At 49.2% G+C, this 21,602-nt stretch overlaps 1 protein-coding gene, 1 long non-coding RNA gene and 1 other non-coding gene across 7 annotated transcripts, besides 5 other annotated features; 2 read left to right on the forward strand and 1 right to left on the reverse strand.

Annotated features, from left to right (window-relative positions):
* Positions 11–511: an enhancer, noted in NCBI's record as "H3K27ac hESC enhancer chr16:28962134-28962634 (GRCh37/hg19 assembly coordinates)". NCBI's record gives its function as "activates a minimal SCP1, AML or CMV promoter by ChIP-STARR-seq in primed H9 embryonic stem cells {active_cell/tissue: H9 hESC(primed)}" and the evidence as "EXISTENCE:reporter gene assay evidence [ECO:0000049][PMID:30033119]".
* Positions 11–590: a biological region, named in NCBI's record as "H3K27ac hESC enhancer GRCh37_chr16:28962134-28962634".
* On the forward strand, positions 135–16,290 carry NFATC2IP (nuclear factor of activated T cells 2 interacting protein). Of its 5 annotated transcripts, NM_032815.4 has the most exons (8): positions 135–596; positions 1,330–1,402; positions 3,763–3,880; positions 5,176–5,256; positions 5,349–5,535; positions 7,915–8,059; positions 8,189–8,298; positions 12,903–16,290. In NM_032815.4, exons 1-8 carry the CDS (start codon positions 210–212, stop codon positions 13,059–13,061), a joined length of 1,260 nt encoding a protein of 419 aa, NP_116204.3. In that variant the 5' UTR covers positions 135–209; the 3' UTR covers positions 13,062–16,290. The 5 variants fall into 5 exon arrangements, 4 of the variants coding, with proteins under 4 accessions (NP_116204.3, NP_001381713.1, NP_001381714.1 ...); NM_001394784.1 differs by lacking the exon at positions 5,176–5,256; NR_172207.1 differs by lacking the exons at positions 5,176–5,256; positions 5,349–5,535.
* Positions 231–330: a silencer, noted in NCBI's record as "silent region_7319". NCBI's record gives its function as "represses an Ori minimal core promoter by ATAC-STARR-seq in GM12878 lymphoblastoid cells {active_cell/tissue: GM12878}" and the evidence as "EXISTENCE:reporter gene assay evidence [ECO:0000049][PMID:35858748]".
* Positions 471–590: a silencer, noted in NCBI's record as "silent region_7320". NCBI's record gives its function as "represses an Ori minimal core promoter by ATAC-STARR-seq in GM12878 lymphoblastoid cells {active_cell/tissue: GM12878}" and the evidence as "EXISTENCE:reporter gene assay evidence [ECO:0000049][PMID:35858748]".
* NFATC2IP-AS1 (NFATC2IP antisense RNA 1) lies at positions 2,100–15,642 on the reverse strand. Its single transcript, NR_186408.1, has 2 exons — positions 15,614–15,642; positions 2,100–4,196 (listed from the first exon to the last, which is right to left on the reverse strand). It is a non-coding gene; the product is annotated as an NFATC2IP antisense RNA 1 (long non-coding RNA).
* MIR4517 (microRNA 4517) lies at positions 7,781–7,859 on the forward strand. Its single transcript, NR_039742.1, has one exon. It is a non-coding gene; the product is annotated as a microRNA 4517 (primary transcript).
* Positions 11,505–11,713: a silencer, noted in NCBI's record as "fragment chr16:28973628-28973836 (GRCh37/hg19 assembly coordinates)". NCBI's record gives its function as "represses an EF-1alpha promoter that drives an FKBP-Casp9 reporter gene in an ReSE screen in K562 erythroleukemia cells {active_cell/tissue: K562}" and the evidence as "EXISTENCE:reporter gene assay evidence [ECO:0000049][PMID:32094911]".
* Positions 16,291–21,602: the final 5,312 nt, after the last annotated feature.

Genomic DNA, 21,602 nt, shown 5'->3' on the forward strand with positions numbered 1-21,602 from the left:
TGATTGGAATCTTTGGCGCCTTGGTTTCAGAGGTGGGCGCATGATGAGCGGGTACAGAGACCAATGAAAAGGCGGGAAGGCGGATCCCGCGCGTGGGGCGCGAAGAGTTGCTGACGAGCAGGCTGTTTGTCCAATGCAAGGCGAAAGTCGCTGAAGGGGGCGGGGCGAGGCGAGAGGAGGCGGGCGTGTGTTGTGGAGGAAAGTGTGCCATGGCGGAGCCTGTGGGGAAGCGGGGCCGCTGGTCCGGAGGTAGCGGTGCCGGCCGAGGGGGTCGGGGCGGCTGGGGCGGTCGGGGCCGGCGTCCTCGGGCCCAGCGGTCTCCATCCCGGGGCACGCTGGACGTAGTGTCTGTGGACTTGGTCACCGACAGCGATGAGGAAATTCTGGAGGTCGCCACCGCTCGCGGTGCCGCGGACGAGGTTGAGGTGGAGCCCCCGGAGCCCCCGGGGCCGGTCGCGTCCCGGGATAACAGCAACAGTGACAGCGAAGGGGAGGACAGGCGGCCCGCAGGACCCCCGCGGGAGCCGGTCAGGCGGCGGCGGCGGCTGGTGCTGGATCCGGGGGAGGCGCCGCTGGTTCCGGTGTACTCGGGGAAGGTGCGCCCGGTCCCGGGGAGGGGACCGGCGGAAGGGCCAAGGGCTTGGCCTCCAGGGAGGGGCCGGCGTTCGGGGAGGGTAGGGCTATAGGGGTGTTGAGGCTGGCGTTCTGGGGCTGGTCCTCGGGCGTTAGGGTGTTGGAGGCAGGGAGAGGCAGGGCTCCGGGACTTTCTGCAGACTGGGGTGGTGAAGGAGGGTGGGATGCGTTGGAAGTTTAGGATTCCTAGGAGCTAGAGTCTTGGGGGCACAGGGAGGCTGAAGAGCTGGGATTCCTGAGATTTTGGAGAGGGACTGGGAGGACCTGGGGCCGTTGGATTTTGAGGTTGGGGTCCATGGCAAATGAAGCCAGGGAGCTGCAGTATTGGGGGTTGGGGTCCATGCGGGTTCAGAGAGGACTGGGCGGCTCCAGAGGCTGGGGTCCCCCGATGGTCGTGTGAGCAATGGGCTGAGAGTCCCTAAGAGTCAGGGGTAGAGGGGCGGCTAGTAACCTAGTTAAAAAGGGCAAGGAAGCATACATTTCAGAGTGTCTTAGGCAGATGGAGGAAAGGGTGAAGGGTACTTCCATTCTGAATCCTGGGGAAGCTGGACTTCTAGGTTGCCAGGAGAGGGCCAAGGTGTCCACGATCTTAGGGAGGATTTGGGAGCTGGGTGTCAGGGAAGAATTACCCCCAATTTTTTCTTTCGGTAGGGGAAGGACTTGGGCCTGACCCCTCTCCCTTCTTTGTCTTTGCAGGTTAAAAGCAGCCTTCGCCTTATCCCAGATGATCTATCCCTCCTGAAACTCTACCCTCCAGGGGATGAGGAAGGTAAGGGAGGGCCTCCAGGGAGAGGCACGCAGCCGCTGGCTTCTCTTAAGAGAATTCCTGGGGTTTATATTCCTGCAGTCAGTTGTCTCCTGAGGCTCAAGGGAAGAGCGTGGGAGAGGGGACTCCTGCATCCCAGCCACAGGAGCTGGATTGTTAACAAGCATAGAATGTATTAATGTATACATTTCTGGTGCCACCTGAAGAGATGCTGATTCTGTAGTCCTGGGCGGGGCAGGAGGCGGTAAGGTGTTGAGAATCTGTGACATCTTGTTACATCTGCAGCAAGTTCTTTGGGAACACTGGAGCCAGCAGGGTGTTCTCTGAATCTTATCAGGGATGCCCTGTCTTTGTCCTCCCCCACTGATGCATTTTTTGCAAACAACTCAAGGGCGGGGAATAGGAATCTAGTCTAATAAGGAAATAATCCAGTGGGCAAATGGAGACCTTGGACCAAGACTCTTGTACCATGAGGGAGTACAGTGGGGTGATTAAAAGCAAACAGGAGCCATCTGGCCTGGGTTTGAATCTCAGTTCTCTCTTTTTTTTTTTTTTTTTTAGACAGAGTTTCGCTTTTGTTGCCCAAGCTGGAGTGCAATGGCACGATCTCGGCTCGCTGCAACCTCCACCTCCTGGGTTCAAGCGATTCTCCTGCCTCAGCCTTCCCAGTAGCTGACTAATTCCCACCACGCCTGGCTAATTTTTTGTATTTTTAATAGAGATGGGGTTTCACCATGTTGGCCTGGCTGGTCTTGAACTCCTGACCTCAGGTGATCCGCCCATCTTAGCTTCCCAAATTGCTGGGATTACAGGCGTGAGCCACTGTGCCCGGCCTCAGCTCTATCTCTTAATAGCTGTGTGATCTTAGGCGAGTTTCTTTTTTCTTGTTTTGAGACAGAGTCTCACTCTGTCACCCAGGGTGGAGTGTAGTGGCGCAATCTTAGCTCACTGCAACCTCCATCTCCCAGGTTGAAGCCATTCTCCTGCCTCAGCCTCCCGAGTAGCAGGGATTACAGGCGCCCGCCACCATGTCTGGCTTTTTTGTATTTTTAGTAGAGATGGGGTTTCATCATGTTGGCCAGGCTGATCTCGAACTCCTGACCTTAGGTGATCTGTCTGCCTTGGTCACCCAAAGTGCTGGGATTACAGGCGTGAGCCACCACGCCCAGCCTGGGCAAGTTTCTTAATTTCTCAGTGCTTCAATTTCCTCATTATCAAAGTGGGGATAATAGTAGACCCCATTTTGGTGCTGATTTTGGTGAGAATTAACGAAAGGGAATATAGAGAGAGCTGCCTCTTGGCTAGATATATGCTTTAGGACAGTACCTAGGACACAGAAGTGCTACGTAAAAGGTACCTCTATCCCTGATACTCAAAACGTGGGCCCAGCCATATATGGCATCCGTTGGAAGCTTGCTAGAAATGCAGGATCGGCTGGGCACAATGGCTCAAAGTGCTGTAATCCCAGCACTTTGGGAGGCTGAGATGGGAGGATTGCTTGAGCCCAGGAGTTCGAGACCAGCCTGCGCAACATGATGAGACCCTGTTTCTACAGAAAAATAAAAAATTAACCAGGCATGGTGATGTGTACTTGTAGTCCTAGCTACTCAGGAGGCTGAGGTGGGAGAAACACCTGAGCCCAGGAAGTCGAGGCTGCAGTGAGCCATGATCATGCCACTGCACTCCAACCTGGGTGACACAGTAGGACCTGGTCTCAAAAAAAAAAAAAGAAAAACGAAATGCAGAATCATAGGCCTCTTGCAGCTGCCATAGTTAGTTAGGACAGGATTTCATGACTTCAGCATTACTGGCATTTTTTGGACTGGAAAATTCTTTGGTGTTGGAAACTGTCCTGTGCATTGTAGAAAGTTTAGCGGCATCCTGACTTCCATCCCTGGGAAGTATTATACCTCAGCCCCCTCGCCCTCCACATTTTGATAACCAATATTGTCTCTAAACATTGCTATATGTCCCCGCAGAGGCAAAATTGTCCCTGGTTCAGAGCCACTGATCTAGGGTTTCTTATCATTTTTTAATTTTCACAGTATTTATTTTTGTGGTTTGTGATGATCTTTTATTGACAGCGGGCAAATAGAAATTTCTATATTATAGAAAATAATACCTGGTTTCCTTTCATGAGAAATTTAAGTTAATTTTAAGTTAATATGAGCTATCTTTATACTAAATAGCAGTCTCATCCCCTGCCCCCTTTCCCAATATTATCATGTGGCCCTGTGTGTGCCAGGGGCTCCGTGGTCTCCTCCTTTCCTAGGACCTTCTTGAAGCCTCTGACTTGTTTCTTCTTGGCCTTCGCTGGCCTCCCTTGGATAACCCCCTTCTACCTTCTCTTCCTCTGCCCCCAGAGGCAGAGCTGGCAGATTCGAGTGGTCTCTACCATGAGGGCTCCCCATCACCAGGCTCTCCCTGGAAGACAAAGCTGAGGACTAAGGATAAAGAAGAGAAGAAAAAGACAGAGTTTCTGTGAGTGAGGCCAGGGCCCTTGGGCCCTGGGAGCAGGAAGTGAGTTGGAGGGGTAAGCGGAGGCAGGCAGGACTCTTGGGTGACTCCTGAAAGGTTAAGAAGAAGGGATAGAAGGACTGTTGAGTTTCATGTGGGGAATGAATCGCTTGGGGAAAAGAGGTGGCTTACCCCGGAGGGTGACAGTGAACCCTTCAGGATCACCCTTGGGAGTGGATTCTGAGACCCTAGTAATGTGAGCTTAAGGTATGGTTCCAATCCAGCTTCCCTGTCCTCTCTGTGCTTCTCTTTCTTCATCTATAAAACCCCGTTTTATAGCCTGGGAAACATAGAGAGACCCTGTCTCTACAAAAAATAAAAAAAAATTAGCCTGGCATGGTGGCGCATGCCTGTGATCCCAGCTGCTCGGGAGGCTGAGATGGGAAAATCGCTTGATCCCAGGAGTTAGAGGCTGCAGTGAGCCATGATCGTGCCACTATACTCCAGCCTGGGTGACAGAGTGAGACCCTGTCTCTAAAAAGCAAACAAACAGACAGACAAAAAATACCCCCAAACCTGGGGATAATAGTGGCATTTGTGTCAATGAATTGCTGAGTCAATCAAGAGTTAACACTTGGCTAGGCACAATGGCTCTTGCCTGTAATCCCAGCACTTTGGGACGCCAAGGGGAGTGAATCACTTGAGCCCAGGAGTTCAAGACCAGCCTGGGCAACACTGGACATATGGTAAGTGCTTGCCGTCTGTCGGATATTATTGGACATTTTCCTGGGAAGTGACAGTCTCAAAAATGAGGCATTTTCTTCCCTAATATTCAGGTCATGTAAATATAAAAATGATGCCTCAGGCTTTCCCTCTCCCCTACCCCTGCCTTCCAGTGAAATGGGGGTTATTGGAAGCTGCTTCCTCTTTATTTTTTAAATGTATTTTTACATTTTTAGAGATAGGGCCTCACTCCATTGCCCAGGCTGGAGTGCAGTGGCGTGATCATAGCTTACTGCAGCCTCAAATTCCTGGGTTCAAGCGACCCTCCCACCTCAGCCTCCTGAGTAGCTGGGACTACAGCTGTGTTCTACTATGCCTGGCTAATTATGTAGAAATAGGGTCTCCCCATCTTGCCCAGCCTGGTCTTGGACTCCTGGGCTCGAGCGATCCTCCTGGCTCAGCCTCCAAAAGTGCTGGGATTACAGGTGTGAGCCATTGCGTCCGACTATGCTTGATTGTCCAAGGATCTGATTTCTAGGATTTGTGGGGCCAGTCTCTCTCCATTGCCTCCGTCCTGCTGTCTCTTGCTTCTACAGGGATCTGGACAACTCTCCTCTGTCCCCACCTTCACCAAGGACCAAAAGCAGAACGCATACTCGGGCACTCAAGAAGTTAAGGTGCCAAGTGCAGGGGCTCTGGCTGGGATGGAAGAGGGCAATCCGGGAGGGTGGCTGACTCCAGTTGACCCAGAGTCCTGTCTGCACTGCAGTGAGGTGAACAAGCGCCTCCAGGATCTCCGTTCCTGTCTGAGCCCCAAGCCACCTCAGGGTCAAGAGCAACAGGGCCAAGAGGATGAAGTGGTCTTGGTGGAAGGGCCCACCCTCCCAGAGACCCCCCGACTCTTCCCACTCAAAATCCGTTGCCGGGCTGACCTGGTCAGATTGCCCCTCAGGATGGTGAGTGCCTGAGGCCCATGGGAGAAGGACCCAGGAGCTGCTTCTGGAGAGATGGTGGTGTCCAGCAGGGGTGTCCTGGCAGAAGGGACTGTCATCCTTTTCCCATCCTGCTCTCTAGAGCTGCCCATCATTCTTTTCAGTCTGTCCTGCCTTCACACTTTTTGTTTCCTCTGTCTGCATTTTCCCAACGCTCCCCTCTCTTTCTGGCAAACTTTCTACCCATTCTTCAAGGCTCCTCATAAGCATCCTGTGTCTTTTTTTTTCCTTCAAAAAGTGGTCTTACTGTGTCCAGGCTGGTTCCGAACTCCTGGGCTCAAGTGATCGTCCCTCATTGACCTCCCAAAGTGCTGGGATTCCAGGTGTGAAGCATCCTGTCTTCTAAGAAGCTTTTTTTGGTAGTCTCTCTTGCCTTCCTCCCTAGGAACCTGGGCTTCCCTCCTGGGCTTGCTCTCACTGCCCTGGACACAGCAGATGTCACTCAGTCACCCTGAACTCCACCAGCTTCCTGGCGAAGCCTGATATTTTTGTAGGGATGACCCTGTTTCAACACCAGGAATGATAACAGACATTACCATTACTGATGCACAGTGCATCAGTCAAGCAACTAAGGCAGAGGCTGCAAACTGGCAGCCCATGGCTTTTCCAACAGTGTGTCTGCTTTCTTTGTAGACTTATTTTATTTTATTTTATTATTTTTTATTATTTTTATTTTTTGAGACGGGGTCTCACTCTGTCGCCTAGGCTGGAGTGCAGTGGCACGATCTCTGCTCACTGAAACCTCCGCCTCCCAGGTTCAGGCGATTCTCCCACCTCAGCCTCCCGAGTAGCTTGGACTACAGGTGCCCGCCACCATGCCCGACTAATTTATGTATTTTTAGTGGAGGCAGGGCTTCACCATATTGGCCAGGCTGGTCTTGAACTCCTGATCTCAAGTGTTCCCCTGTCTCAGCTTCCCAAAGTGTTGGGATTACAGGCATGAGCCACCGTGCCTGGCCTATTTTATTTTTTAAACATAGAGATGGGGGCCAGGCATGGTGGCTCATTCCTGTAATCCCAGCACTTTGGGAGGCCAAGGTGAGAGGATCACTTGAGGCCAGGAGTTCGAGACCAGCCTGGGCAAAATAGTGAGACCTTGTCTCTACTAAAAATAAAAAAATTAACCAGGCATGGTGGCACATACCTGTAGTCCCAGCGACTTGGGAGGCTGATGCAAGAGGATCTTCTGAGTCCAGGAGTTGGGGGCTGCAGTCAGCTGTGATCATGCCACTGCACTGCAGCCTGGGTGAGAGAGCAAGACCTTGTCTCTTAAAAAAAAAAAAAAATGGAGATGGGATCTTGCTTTGTTGCTCAGGCTGATCTTGAACTCCTGACCTCAAGCAAACCTCCCGCCTCGGCCTCTCAAAATGCTGGGATTATAGGTGTGAGCCATCATGCCTGACCAAGTGCTTTAAAAATATACGAGTTTGTTGTCACCTTTGTGATGGGTGATTTCATACAAAGGTCCAGATTTCTGGCCGGGTGCAGTGCCTCACGCCTGTAATCCCAGCACTTTTGGGAGGTGAAGGCAGGCAGATCACCTGAGGTCAGGAGTTCGAGACCAGCCTAGCCAACATGGTGAAACCCCATCTCTACTAAAAATACAAAAATTAGCTGGGCATGGTGCCACTGCCTTCCAGCCTGGATGAAAGAGCGAGACTCTGCCTCAGATCTCACCTGAGATCAGGAGTTCAAGACCAGCCTGGCCAATATGGTGAAGCCCGCCTCTACTAAAAATAGAAAGAAAAAAAAAAGGTCCAGATTTCTGGCTTCTCTTAAAAAATAAGAAGATGTGGCCAGGTGCGGTGGCTCACACCTGTTATCCCTGTAGTTTGGGAGGCCGAGGCAGGTGGATCACCCGAATTCAAGAGTTCAAGACCAGCCTGGTAGGAGAATCACTTGAACCTGGGAGGCGGAGGTTGCAGTGAGCTGAGATTGCGCCACTACACTCCATCCTGGTTAACAAGAGCGAAACTCCGTCTCAAAAAAAAAAAAAAGAAAAATATAGGAAGATGTCATACTGGCCCACGTTCCCACACAGTGCCAATCAGCTGGAGCTGCGTAACAGCCAGCCTGTCTAGGTGGCATGTGAATTCCAGTTTGCTGCAATCCCCACCACCCCTTTCTTTGTTCTAACCCATGGCTGCTATATTTCTTTGTGTTACTCGCCTGTACCCCTTGCTGACACGATTTTATTCTATACCTTGCCAGGTAAATATGATGAAACTCACAGCTGAGGAGCTTAGCAAGTAGCTAAGGCCAGAGCTTGTGTTTGGGTGGTGTGGCTGGGGGCATGGATTTCAAGGCAGGAAGACCTCTTTTGCTTGTTGTCCCCATCCCTAGTCGGAGCCCCTGCAGAGTGTGGTGGACCACATGGCCACCCACCTTGGGGTGTCCCCAAGCAGGATCCTTTTGCTTTTTGGAGAGACAGAGCTATCACCTACTGCCACTCCCAGGACCCTAAAGCTCGGAGTGGCTGACATCATTGGTGAGAGGAAGGCAGGGAGGTGGGGCCTTGAGGCATTTGCCAGGGGAAGGGGATATGGGGAGAGGTTCAGCACGGGCCCTGCTTCCAAGCCCCCACTTAGCCCTGGCTTCCTGATTCTGCCTCCCACAGACTGTGTGGTACTAACAAGTTCTCCAGAGGCCACAGAGACGTCCCAACAGCTCCAGCTCCGGGTGCAGGGAAAGGAGAAACACCAGACACTGGAAGTCTCACTGTCTCGAGTGAGTGGGAGAGATGGCTCTCCACGCCCCTCACCCTGTCCTCTGCTGCCTCTTGTCTCTCTTGTCAGTTAATGGAGGATGGATTCCCCTAATCTTGACTTGCAGGAGACACTGCCCTCCATGTTCTTGGGTTCCCAGCCATCCTAGGTAGTGGGAAAACCCATCGTTCAACTTCCCTCCCCGCTTCTACTGGTACCCTCTGCCCTAGTCTGGGTGCTCCCTCGGTCTCCTGACTCCTTCTGATTAAAACAGAAAGGACCCTTAGACGGTAATCAATAAAACCCATCAAAATAACAATGAAGGCCACACGGCTAAGTGCTAGTCCCCGTGCTGAGGATAATTTCCTCACATTCAGGATCTTATTTAATTTCACAACAATCTGATGTGGGCCACAAAGCACTGTTGTTATCCTCATTTGGCAATAAGAAGATTGAGTTCTAGAGAGGTGGAATAAGCAACTTGGTGCAGTCATTTTTTTTTTTTTTTTTTTTTTGAGATAGAGTCTCGCCCTGTCGCCCAGGCTGAAGTCTGGCATGATCTTGGCTCACTGCAGCCTCTGCCTTCCGAGTTTCAAGTGATTCTCTTTCCTCAGCCTCCCGTGTAGCTGGGATTACAGGTGCACGTGCTGGGCTAATTTTTGCATTTTTAGTAGAGACAGGGTTTCACCATGTTGGCCAGGCTGGTCTCAAACTCCTGACCTCAAGTGAGCCACCCACCTTGGCCTCCCAAAGTGTTGGGATTACAGGTGTGAGCCACCGCGCCTGGCCTGCTGCATTCATTTCTTAAGTCTACTGTTAACGAAATACACAAATTGGGTGGCTTAAAACAATAGAAACCTATTCCTGTACACTTCTGGAGCCTAGAAGTCTGAATTGAAGGTGTTGGCAGGGCCTGGTTCCGTCTGAGAATCTGAGTGGAAACCTTCCTTACCTCTTTCTAGCTTCTGCTGGTGGCCAGAGTTCCTTGGCTTGCAGCTGTGTCACTCCAGTCTCTCCCTCTGTGATCACACGGTGTTCTCCATGTGTCTCTGTCTGTGTTCGTCTCTCTTCTTGGAAAGACATAGGTCATGTTGGGCTAGCCCCACTCTAACCAAGCACAACCTCATCTCAACTTGATTATATCTGCAAAGTCCCTACTTTAAATAAGGTTACATTCACATTTACTAGGGGTTAGGACCACAAAGTGCCTTTTCAGGGGAATACAGTTCAACCCTTAACACACTGTTCTCTAGCCCCCACCAAATTCATGGCCTTCCCATCTGCAAAATATATACATCCCATTCCAATATCCCTACAAGTCTTAACCCATCCCAGCATCAACTCTTAAGCCCAAAATCTCATTTAAATATAATCAACTCAAGAAGTCCCAATCTTATTTTCTAAATCATTAAATCAGTTTTGGATGAGACTTGGTATGGTCCATTCTGGGACAAAATTCCTCTCTCTCTCTCTCTGCGGACCCGTGAAATCTAGAAAATAAGTTATTTGCTTCTAAAATACAGTGATGGGACAGACATAGGATAGACATTCCCATTTCAAAAGTGAGAAATTGGGCCAGGTGCAGTGGCTCACACCTGTAACCCCAGCACCTGTAATCCTAGCTCCCCAGGCGGCTGAGGCAGGAGGATTGCTTGAGCCTGGGAGATCAAGGTTGTAGTGAGCCATGATTGCGCCACCTTTATTGGAAACTTTTATTCCAGTTACCAATAACACATTCCTCATTTCCTCCAGAGACCTCACCAGAAACACCTTTAATATTCATATTTCTAGCAGCCTTCTGTTCATAACAATATATGCATCCTGTTAAGATGATAGGAGATTTCTCTGCACCTCTCCTCTTTGTGAGCCTGCAGGGACATTCCCTTTAATGTCCATATTTCTACCAGCAGTCTCTTCAAGGCAGTCTAGGTTTTTCCTAACATACACCTCAAAATTCTTGCAGCTTTGGCCAGGCACAGTGCCTCACATCTGTAATCCTAACACTTTGAGAGGCCAACATGGACAGATTGCTTGAGCTCAGGAGTTCAAGACCAGCCCGGGCAACATAGTGAAACCCTGCCTCTACAAAAAATACAAAAATTAGCCCAGCATGCTGGCGCAGGCCTATAGTTCCAGCTACCCAGGAGGCTGAGGTGTGAGGATCGCTTGTGCCTAGGAGATTGAGGCTGCAGTGAGCTGAGATTGGGCCACTGCACTCCAGCCTGGGAGACAGCAAGACCCTATCTGAAAAAAAAAAAAAAAAAAAAAAAAAAAAATTATTCCAGCCCTGATCCAATTTCAAAGCCACTGTTACATTTAACCATTTATTCCAGCAGCACCCCACTTTTGTATTTTGGCTGTTGTAACAAAGTACCACAAGTTGGGTGGCTTAAAACAACATAAATTTATTCTCTCATTGTTCTGGAGGGTAGAAGTCTGAAATCAAGGTGTTAGCAGAGCAAGTGTCTCTGAAGATATGGGGGAAGAAAACAAACTCAGGATTTTTTTCTTTTCTTTTGAAAAAAACAAAAAAGAGACAGGGCCAGACGTGGTGGCTCACGCCTGTAATCCCAGCACTTTGGGAGGCTGAGGTGGGCGGATCACGAGGTCAGGAGTTCAAGACCAGTCTGATCAACATGGTGAAACCCTGTCTCTACTAAAAATACAAAAAATTAGCCGGGCATGGTGGCATGCGCCTATAGTCCCAGCTACTCAGGAGGCTGAGGCAGAAGAATCGCTTGAACCTGGGAGGCGGAGGTTGCAGTGAGCCAAGATCAAGCCACTGCACTCCAGCCTGGGCGACAGAGCTAGACTTCGTCTCAAAAAAAAAAAAAAAAAAAAAAAAGACAGGGTCTTGCTCTGTTGCCCAGGCTGGAGTGCAGTGGTGCGATCTTGGCTTACCACAGCCTCAAACTCCTGGGCTCAAGCGATCCTTCTACCTCAGCCTCCTGAGTAGTTGGGACTACAGGTGTGTGCCACTACCCTTGGCTAATTTTTTAATTTTTTTTGTGTAGACGGGGTCTCACTATGTTGCCCAGGCTGGACTCAAACTCCTGGGCTCAACTGATCCTCCCACCTCTGCCTCCCAGAGTGTTGGGATTACAGGCATGAGCCACTGCACCTCGCCCCCTCCTTGGGTTTAATTTGCTAGAGCAGCTTACAGAACTCAGGGAGACACTTACTTTCATTTACTGGTTTATTATAAAGGATGTTACAAAGGATACAGATGAAGAGATGTGTAGGGCACAGCATGGGAAAAGGGCGCAGAGCTTCCATAGCTTCCCTGGGCACCATTCTCCAGGAATCACCACATGTTCAACTATTGGGAAGTTCTCCAAACCCTGTCCTCTGGATTTTTATGGAAGCTTTGTTATATAGGCATGACTGATTAAACCATGGGCTATTGGTGGTGACTCAACCTTCACTCTCTCCCTCCTTCTTGGAGGTTGAGGGGTGGGGAAAAAGTCCCAACTGTCTTATCCTACCTTGGTCTTTCTAGTGACCAGCACCATTCCTGAAGCTCTCTAGGGGCTGCCAGCCACCAGTCAACTCATTAGCATGCAAAAAGATACTTAACTCTTTCCCAGGGATTTTAGGAATTTTATACCAGGAAACATACAAAGACCAAATATATATTTGACAACATCACGCAGTCCCTCAGGGTCTCTTCATGGAATCTGCCCTGTCTCCTCCTGGCTCCTGCTGGCGGCCCACAGTCCTTGGCATTCTTGGCTTGCAGGTGCACTCCATTCTGCCTCTGTCATCACGTGTGTTCTCCCCTCATGTCTGTTTCTGTGTCTGTTCCATAAGCATACCAGTCCCAGGCTGGGTGCGGGGGCTCACGCCTGTCATCCCAGCACTTTGGGAGGCCAAAGTGGGTGGCTTATCTGAACTCAGGAAGTTTGAGACCAGCTTGGGCAACAGAGAAACTGTCTCTACCAAAAATACAAAAACTTAGCTGGGTGTGGTGGCCTGTGCCTGTAGTTGCAGCTACTCAGGAGGCTGAGGCAGGAGAATTGCTTGAACCCAGGAGGCAGAGGTTGCAGTGAGTTGTCTACCAGTCCCACGGCATTAGCACTCGTCCCAATCCAGTACAACCTCAACTTGATTGCATCTGCAAAGGCCCCGTCTCCAAATCACATCACATTCACACTTAACAGGGGTTAAGACCACAAGGTGTCTTCTCTGGGGAACATAACCTGTAACATTTTTCTAAGGTCACATATCTAATAGGTGGGAGAGCCTGGCCTCCAGCTCGACTCATCCTCACTCTAGAATCTGGGCTCTCTTAGTCATTGGTACACACTTCTGTTTCATAGGGAAGGAGGCTGAGGCTAGGAGGACTTGCCTGACTTAGAGCCTATACCCCTAAGCCTTGGGCTCGTGGCCCCCGTCCTCTACCTGAGCAACTTGGAGCCCAGAGGGATGACAGGATTCGTCCCAGCTCCCAGAGAGGAGCCTGGCTGGGCTGGCTTCTTTGTCCTCTCTCCTTTCCCCGCATGGGGCCCTGACTTTATTGTTTCCGCCCCTGCCGCCATCCTCCCTGTCCCAAGTTCCTCGTCTATCCCTACGGGATCCCCGCCCCCTTTCATGTTCTGACGTCCATTTTCTTTTGTCTCCATCCAGGATTCCCCTCTAAAGACCCTCATGTCCCACTATGAGGAGGCCATGGGACTGTCGGGACGGAAGCTCTCCTTCTTCTTTGATGGGACAAAGCTTTCAGGCAGGGAGCTGCCAGCTGACCTGGGCATGGAATCTGGGGACCTCATTGAGGTCTGGGGCTGACACCCCACTCCCTGTTTGACGGCCCAGCCTGGACTTGGGGAGAATGACTTTCCCTTTTTTGCCCCATAAGGGCTAGCATAAGCTGAGGTAGAACTTATCTTTAAGCTGCAGCAAAATCAAGGAGTGACTTTTGTCCCCTCTCCTGTTGACCCTGGTTTAGAGCCGTTAACCACTTGGTGAGTTATGTGGGTGTTGTTGCCCTGGGTGGCCTGTGGCTCCGTCCACAAGTCATGCTGAGTTTTGCAGCCTCTGTGACTTGGAGATGTCCCTTCACCCCTCCCCTTTCACCACCATCCTCTTTTCCTCATGGAAATGTCTGCTTTATGAAACTATGCACATATTGAAAGTGAGTTGAAACAAATGAGGGTTGGGTAGGAGCTTCCAGGCCTGGGATTTACACCACGCCTAGCCCAGCAGAGGCCTTAGTCCCATTTGGGGCTTGGGAGTGACATTTGCTTGAGGCTTATACACTGGTGTGGTTGCCTGGCTTGCAGGAAATGACCAAGCTCACACATGCTGGCTGAAGCGTAAGCAGACAACTGAGGTACTCTTTTGAAGGATGAAGGTGGTGGATTCTCAGCCCTGGGGGTCTTCCTCACCTGAGGACCCTTCAGAGCCACCCTTTCTAGTTTGCATTTCCTGGTGCACACATTTAAGGCATAACAGCACATTCATCCCTTTGGTTTGGGATCTCAGGAATACAGTCCCATGCAAAGATTCTCTGGTTTTATGGCTTTTTTCCCTTTCTTTACACCATCCTCTCCCATAAGCACCCATGTCTTTGAATATGAATGTATTTGTAAAATACCACGTTTCATGTGTGAATATGTGCTTTTACTGTACATAGTGCTATTGTGCAATAGGTCTTATGCTGTTTTCACTCAATGTGTGCTAAGATCTAGCCCCATTGACTCTTCTAGAAATGCAGTATTGCTTTGACCTGCCATGTGGCACTCCACAATGTCAATTGCAGTTTACACACATTGCCTAAAGTGGGGGACACCTGGGTGCCCCTGACCCCTTGGCACCGGATACAGGCCACGATAAACATCCTTTCGTGTGTTCCCTTCTGTGCTTGTGTGGCATGTGTACCCAGGATGGGCCTATAGGTCACAGAGGTCAGTTTCTCTTTGGTTTTCCAGATTTTCTTTAGAACGGTGACTGACCCTCCTACTTGAGGCCGCCCTTTTCTCCTTATCCTTGCCAGCACTTGTATTGCCAGACTACCTAATTTTTGCCAGTCTCATGGGTAGATAGTGGTGCAGTGCTTTAACATACATTCATCTGATCAGCATTAATTTGGGGAATTTTTTCACTTAGCCTTTCTGGTTTCCCTTCCTGTGCATTGCCCATTTTCTCATGGAGTTTCTTATCTTTTTTGGTTTATTCTCAGGAGTTGCTTGTACATTCTTGGGCAATTGCAGATAATTCCAAGAATGCATATTTGGGCTGGGTATGGAGGTTCACTGGTAATCCCAGCACTTTGGGAGGCCCAGGCAGAAGGATCGCTGCAGCCCAGGAGTTCGAGACTAGCCTGGGCAACATAGCGAGACCTCGTCTCTACAAAAAAAAATTAAAAAGGGGGCTTTGGGAGGCCAAGGCGGGCAGATCATGAGGGCAGGAGATTGAGACCCTCCTGGCCAACATGGTGAAACCCCGTCTCTACTAAAATACAAAAAATTAGCTGGGCATGGTGGCGCACACCTGTAGTCCCAGCTACTCTGGAGGCTGAGGCAGGGGAATCGCTTAAACCCAGGAGGCGGAGATTGCAGTGAGCCAAGGTTCCACCACTGCACTCCAGCCTGGCGACAGAGCAAGGCTCCACTCAAAAAAAAGATTTAAAGGGGAAAAAATTGAAATTTTCTTTGTATCTAGGGGTATCCGTCACTGAACAGAAATTCTTAATTTTGGCTAGGCGTGATGGCTCAGGTCTGTAATCCCAGCACTTTCGGTGGCCGGGGTGGGTGGATCACTTGAGGCCAGGAGTTCAAGACCACCCTGACCAACTTGGTGAAATCCCATCTCTACTAAAAATACAAAAATTAGCTGGGTGCAGTGGCGCATGCTTGTAATCCCAGCTACTCAGGAGGCAGAGGCAGGAGAATCACTTGAACCCGGGAGGTGGAGGCTGCAGTGAACAGAGACAGTGCCACTGCACATCAGCCTGAGTGACAGAGAGACTTTGTCTCAAAAAAAAAAGAAAATTTTAATTTTAATGTAGACAGTATGAATTATCTTGTTCTGCAGTTGGTTGCTTTTTGATTGCTTATTTAATAGAGTTGTTAAGATATTTTACATCTTCTCCTGTTAGCTGTTCAGCTTTTCCTTTCATATTGAGAACACTACACAGTGCTGAAGTCCAGCTGGTACACACCGGGGTGACACCTTGGCTGCATCTGTTCTCAACAGTCAGACACTTCTTCTAATTGGTTGATGCTGGGCTGTACTGGTTGCTAAATATTGCACATCATTTTAAAACTATTTGAGATGCACTTTTGTACTCAGGAGGCCAAGGCAGGAGGATTGCTTGAGCCCAGGAGTTTGAGACCAGCCTGGGCAACACAGCGAGACCTTGTCTCTTAAAAAAAAAAAAAAAAAAAAATGAGAGAAATCGGCTGGGCATGGTTTCTCATGCCTGTAATCCCAGAACTTTGGGAGGCTGAGGCAGGTGGATCACCGGAGGTTAGGAATTCAAGACTGAAACCTTGTCTCTACTGAAAATACAAAAAAAAAAAAAAAAAAAAATGAGCTAGGTGTGGTGGCAGGCGCCTGTAATCCCAGTTACTTCGGGAGGCTGAGGCAGGAGAATCGCTTGAACCCAGGAGGCAGAGGTTGCAGTGAGCCAAGATCGCGCCATTGCACTCCAGCCTGGGCGACAAGAGTGGAAACTCTGTCTCAAAAAAAAAAAAAAAAATTCAGTGAAATACACCTTTATATATGAGATCCAAGTTTCACTTTTTGTGATATAATGAGCCAGTTTTCTCAGTAATGTCTACTAAAAAAAAAGCCATTAACCTTTCTCTAATATTTGCATGATTCTAATAAAAGTATGTCAACTTCTTAAAATGTTTTATTGAAATGTGGCATTCCTTTGAATTTTATGACATTAAAATAATCCACGACATGGTACAGCTCTTCACTTTTTCAGCTTTTTAAATGTCCATTAATAAGTTTGAATACGTTAAAATTATATGTTTAACCTCAACAAAATAAATGGCAATATGTTCAACTTGTGTATACTGGAGGATTTTTGTCTTTGTGGCCCTCATGTGACCCCCACTAAGATCCTTGTGACAGAGACAGGAATAAGATCCTTATTCCTTCACATCCATTCTTCCTCCTTCTGTGGTACTAGAACCCATGGTTTTTAGCGAGGCACAGAGACACTCAGAATAAAAACAGTGGCCAGGCATGGGGGCACACACCTGGAATCTACCTAGCACCCTGGGAGGCTGACGTGGGAGGATCGCTTGAACCCAGGAGGTTGAGGTTGCAGTGAGCTATGGTTGTGCCAACCCACTCCAGCCTGGGCAACAATCAAGACCCTGTCTCAAAAAAAAAAAAAAATTAAGACAGTACTTCCTGGCTTCCACTGTAGCTAGATGTAGCCAAGTGCCAATACAGGCTCCTGGGGTGTAAGTGGAATGGGGTATCACTTCCCAGAAGTGTGCATAGCGGGCAGCTTGTCCCCTCTCTTTCACTTGCCTCCTGCCTGCTTACTGGAAGTGGAGCAGCCCTACTGACTTAAGGTGACCTCTGGAACAGAAACCACATGGGCCAGGATGGTGAGGGAAGGCGCCTGGATCACAGCATCCATGTAGCACCTCATTGGCCTGGCAGTGCTGACCTCGGCTTTCACATGAAGGAGGGACTGCTGCCCCTCTTTAAATCACTTATTTTAGGGTTTCTACCACTTATAACCAAACCCAGTTCAAATTCCAGGATGTTGCTATTGCAAGCAATGTAGTGTTCCCTTTGGGGTACCTGTGTGGGATTTTTCTCGGGGGCTTCCATCTGATAGTGGAATCACTGGTCACTAATTCTTGAATACTGTTAGATTGCTAACCAAAGTGCCTGTACATTTTTACATGTCCCCTAGCAAGTGCTGGAAGGTTCCAGTTTCCTCATACCTTCCCCTGACTTAATCTGGGAAGGGTATGGGAAAGACTGCATTTCTTTATCTTTTATGATGAGATTGTTCATCCTTTCACATGTCTAAAAGAATATCTAGGGTGATCTTTCTTTTTCTTTTTCTTTTTCTTTTCTTCTTTTTTTTTTTTTATAGGGTCTTGTTCTATCACCCAGGCTGGAGTGCAGTGGTGTGATCTCGGCTCACTGCAACCTCTGCCTCCGGGGCTCAAGTGATCCTCCCACCTCAGCCTCCTGATTAGCTGGGATCACAGGTGCATGACAGCATGCCCACCTAATTTTTTTGTATCTTTTGTAGAGGTAGGATCTCACTATGTTGCCCAGGCTGATCTTGAACTGCTGAGCTCAAGCAGTCTGCCTGCCTCTGCCTCCCAAAGTGCTGGGATTATAGGTGTGAGCCATCGTTCCCAGCCTTGTTTTGTTTTCTTGAGATAGGGTCTTCTCTGTCACCCAGGCTGGAGTGTAGTGGTGCTATCATAGCTCACTGCAGCCTCGATCTTGTGGACTCAAGCAATCCTCCCGAGTCTCCTGAGTAGCTGGGACTACAGGTGAATGACAACACACCTGCTAATTGTTAAACTTTTGTGTAGAGATGGACTCTCCCTAGGTTTCCCAAGCTGGTCTGGAACTCCTGGCCTCAAGCAATTTTCCTGCCTTGGCCTCCCAAAGTGCTGGGATTACAGGTGTGAACCACTGCAGCTGGCTCTGGATAATCTTCCTCAAACTCTCCTGATTAGAGACCCTTGAAACTTTAATGCTCCTTTACTCAGTGCCACATACCAACCTTGGCTCTTTTCATAACCTTATTCATCCTCAGAGCAATCCTGTGAGGTAGGTGTTCTTATTCCCATTTTACAGAAGAAAAACAGAAGCTTAGGGCTGGGCACAGTGGCTCACGCCTGTAATCCCAGCACTTTGGGAGGCCTAAACGGATGGATCATTTGAGGTCAGAAGTTCAAGACCACCCTGGCCAACATGGTGAGACCCTATCTCTACAAAAAGAAAGAAAAAAAAACCAGGTATGGTGATGCACGCCTGTAGTCCCAGCTACTTGGGAGGCTGAGGCAGGATAATTGCTTGGACCTGGGAGGCAGAGGTTGCAGTGAGCTGAGATCGCACCACTGCACTCCAGCCTGGGCGAGAGAGTGAGACGCTGTCTCAAAAAAAAAAGACAGAAGCTTAGAAAGATGAATGAACGTGCTCTAGACCACAGGGCCTCCCATTGCACAGCCCGGTGTAGATGCAGGTGGGTCTGATGTATGGCTCAGAATTCTCAAGGAGACCAGAGACTCTCGTCAGTGTGCACACAGGTTGTCTGGGGACCTTGTTAGTGTGCAGATGCTGGATCAGCAGCTCAGGTGGGGCGTGAGATGCTGCATTTCCAGCAAGGTCCCAAGTGATGGCAATGTAGCTGATCATACTTGAAGTTGCAACATACCATTTTGCCTTTTTTTCTCTATGCCTTTACTGTCTCCCACCTCCCTACCCCTGTCACCCCCTCCAACTCAGGGTCAGTTCTTCCATAAGGCTCCTCGTAGGACTGGTCACATTGTCTTTTGTGTGTCCCACCTCTGCTTGGAGTCTGGCTTGGTACACCCATCCACGCATCCAGGTTTTGCTTCCCTATGGGACTGTAAGTTCCTTGAAAATAAACTCTTCTTAAAAATCTCTTGGCTGGGCCGCAGTGGCTCATGCCTGTAATCCCAGCACTTCAGGGGGCTGAGGTGGGAGGATCACTTGAGGCCAGGAGTTCCAGACCAGCCTGGGCAATCTAGTGAGACCCCATCTCTACAAACATAAAAAAAATTAGCCAAGTGTGTGGTGCATGCCTGTAGTCCCAGCTACTCAGGAAGGAGGCTGAGGTGGGAGGATTGCTTGAGCCCAGGAGTTCGAGACTGTAGTGAGCTGTGATTGTGCCACTGCACACCAGCCTGGGCAACAGAGCAAGACCCCATCTCAAAAAAGTCTCTTGCTTGGTGTCTGACACCTTGACACAGTAGTATCCTAACAAATGTTTGTTGAATGATTAAACTCCTGTCTCAAAGAATCCCAGCATCATCCATCTCTGCGTGAGCCAGAAAAGCTTCACTCTTGATCCCTTTTCATCCCCCACACCCACTGCATCACCCGTTCAACTTAATAGCCCCAGCTCCCTCCCAAATCAGCTCCCTCTGCCCGTCTCCATGCTGTCCTAGGCCAAGCCACCACTGCCTGCAGCCTAGGCTAGTGCCACAGCCGCTTCACGGGTGGCTGTTTCCCCTCTGGCCTCTCAAATCCATCTTCCATGCTGCAGCCAGAATGATATTTTCTTTGGTTTTTTCTTTGTTTTTTTTTTTTGAGACGGAGTCTCAGTCTGTTGTCCAGGCTGGAGTGCAGTGGCGCGATCTTGGCTCACTGCAACCTCTGCAGTGAGGTTCAAGCGATTCTCCTGCCTCAGCCTCCCAAGTAGTTAGGATTACAGGTGTTCACCACCACGCCTGGCTAATCTTTGTATTTTTAATAGAGACAGGGTTTCCCCATGTTGGCCAGGCTGGTCTCAAACTCCTGAACTCAAGTGATCCTCCTGCCAAAGTGCTGGGATTACAGGCGTGAACCACCACTCCCGGCCTATTGTAGTTTAATTAATATGCCTAAACATTGACTCATTTTAAGCATACAGTTCAGTGAATTTTTTCAAAAAATTATTTATGTAGAGACAGGGTCTTGCTCTGTCACCCAGGCTGGAGTGCAGTGGCGCAATCATAGTTCACTGCAGCCTCAAACTCCTGGCCTCAAACATCTTCCCATTTCAGCCTCCCTAAGTGCTGGAATTACAGGCATGAGCCACCATGCCTGGCCTTCAGTGAGTTTTGGTAGATGTACACGGTTGTGCAAAAGTTTCCTTCTCTTGCCCATGACCCCAGGCAACCACTAATCTGCTTTCTGTCACCTTACTTTTGCCTTCTCTGGATGTTCATATAAATGGAATAACAGTATGCAGTGTTTTGTGTCTGGCTTCTTTTACTTAACACAATGTTTCTGCGTTTGTATCAGTAGTTCTGTTACAGGACAGGGGTCCCGATCCAGACCCCAAGTGAAGGTTCTTGGATCTCGTGCAAGAAAGAATTCAGGGTGAGTCCACAGTGTGAAGTAAAAGCAAGTTTATTAAGAAAGTAAACTGGGCCGGGCACAGTGGCTCACACCTGTAATCCTAGCACTTTGGGAGGCTGAGGTGGGCGGATCACCTGAGGTCAGGAGTTCAAGACCAGCCTGGCCAACATGGCGAAACCCTATCTTTACTAAAAATACAAAAATTAGCTGGGCGAGATGGTTGGGGCCTATAATGTCAGCTACTTGGGAGGCTGAGGCAGGAGACTCACTTGAACCTGGGAGGCAGAGGTTACAGTGAGCTGAGATCATGCCATTGCACTCCAGCCTGGGCTACAGAGTGAGACTCCGTCTCAAAAAAAAAAAAAAAAAAAAGTAAACTGGTGAAAGTACAGCTACTCCATAGACAGAGTAGGACATTCCTGAAAGTAAGAAGGGGAAGGCATCCACCTTATGTACAAGACTCATATATATGGGGAGATGTGCTCTGCTACAAGGGTTTGTGATAAAGGATTTTTTTTTTTTTTTTTTTTGAGATGGAGTCTCGCTCTGTCGCCCAGGCTGGAGTGCTGTGGCACGATCTTGGCTCACTGCAACCTCCGCCTCCTGGGTCCCAATTTAAGCAATTCTCCTGCCTCAGCCTCCTGAGTAGCTGGGATTACAGGAACACGCCACTATGCCCAGCTAATTTTTGTATTTTTAGTAGAGATGGGGTTTCACCATGTTGGCCAGGCTGGCCTTGAACTCCTGACCTCGTGATCCGCCTGCCTTGACCTCCCAAAGTGCTGGGATTACAGGCATAAGCCACTGCGCCCGGCTAATTTTCTTAATTACTATATTTAGCAAGAATCAATATTGTTATCTTTAAAGCAAAATTAGGAATGCTTTGTTCTCCATATATTGGGATATCTGGACACTCCCAAGTCTGGGTCTGTTTAGTAAACATTATATTATTATTATTTGAGATGGAGTTTTGCTCTTGTTGCCCGGGTGGGAGTGCAGTGGTGCTCTCTCAACTCACTGCAGCCTCTGCCTCCCAGGTTCAAGTGATTCTTCTGCCTCAGCCTCCTGAGTAGTTGGGATTACAGGTGTGTGCTACCATGCCCGGCTAATTTTTTTTTTTTTTTTTTGAGACGGTGTCTCACACGGTTGCCCAGGCTGGAGTGCAGTGGCACAATCTCGGCTCACTGCAGCCTCTGCCCCCTGGGTTCAAGCAGTTCTCTGCCTCAACCTCCCGAGTAGCTGGGATTGCAGACGCCCACCACCACGTCTGGCTAATTTTTTGTGTGTGTTTTTAGTAGAGAT

This window comes from Homo sapiens, chromosome 16 (assembly GCF_000001405.40).
Source record: "Homo sapiens chromosome 16, GRCh38.p14 Primary Assembly".
NCBI lineage: Eukaryota > Metazoa > Chordata > Mammalia > Primates > Hominidae > Homo > Homo sapiens.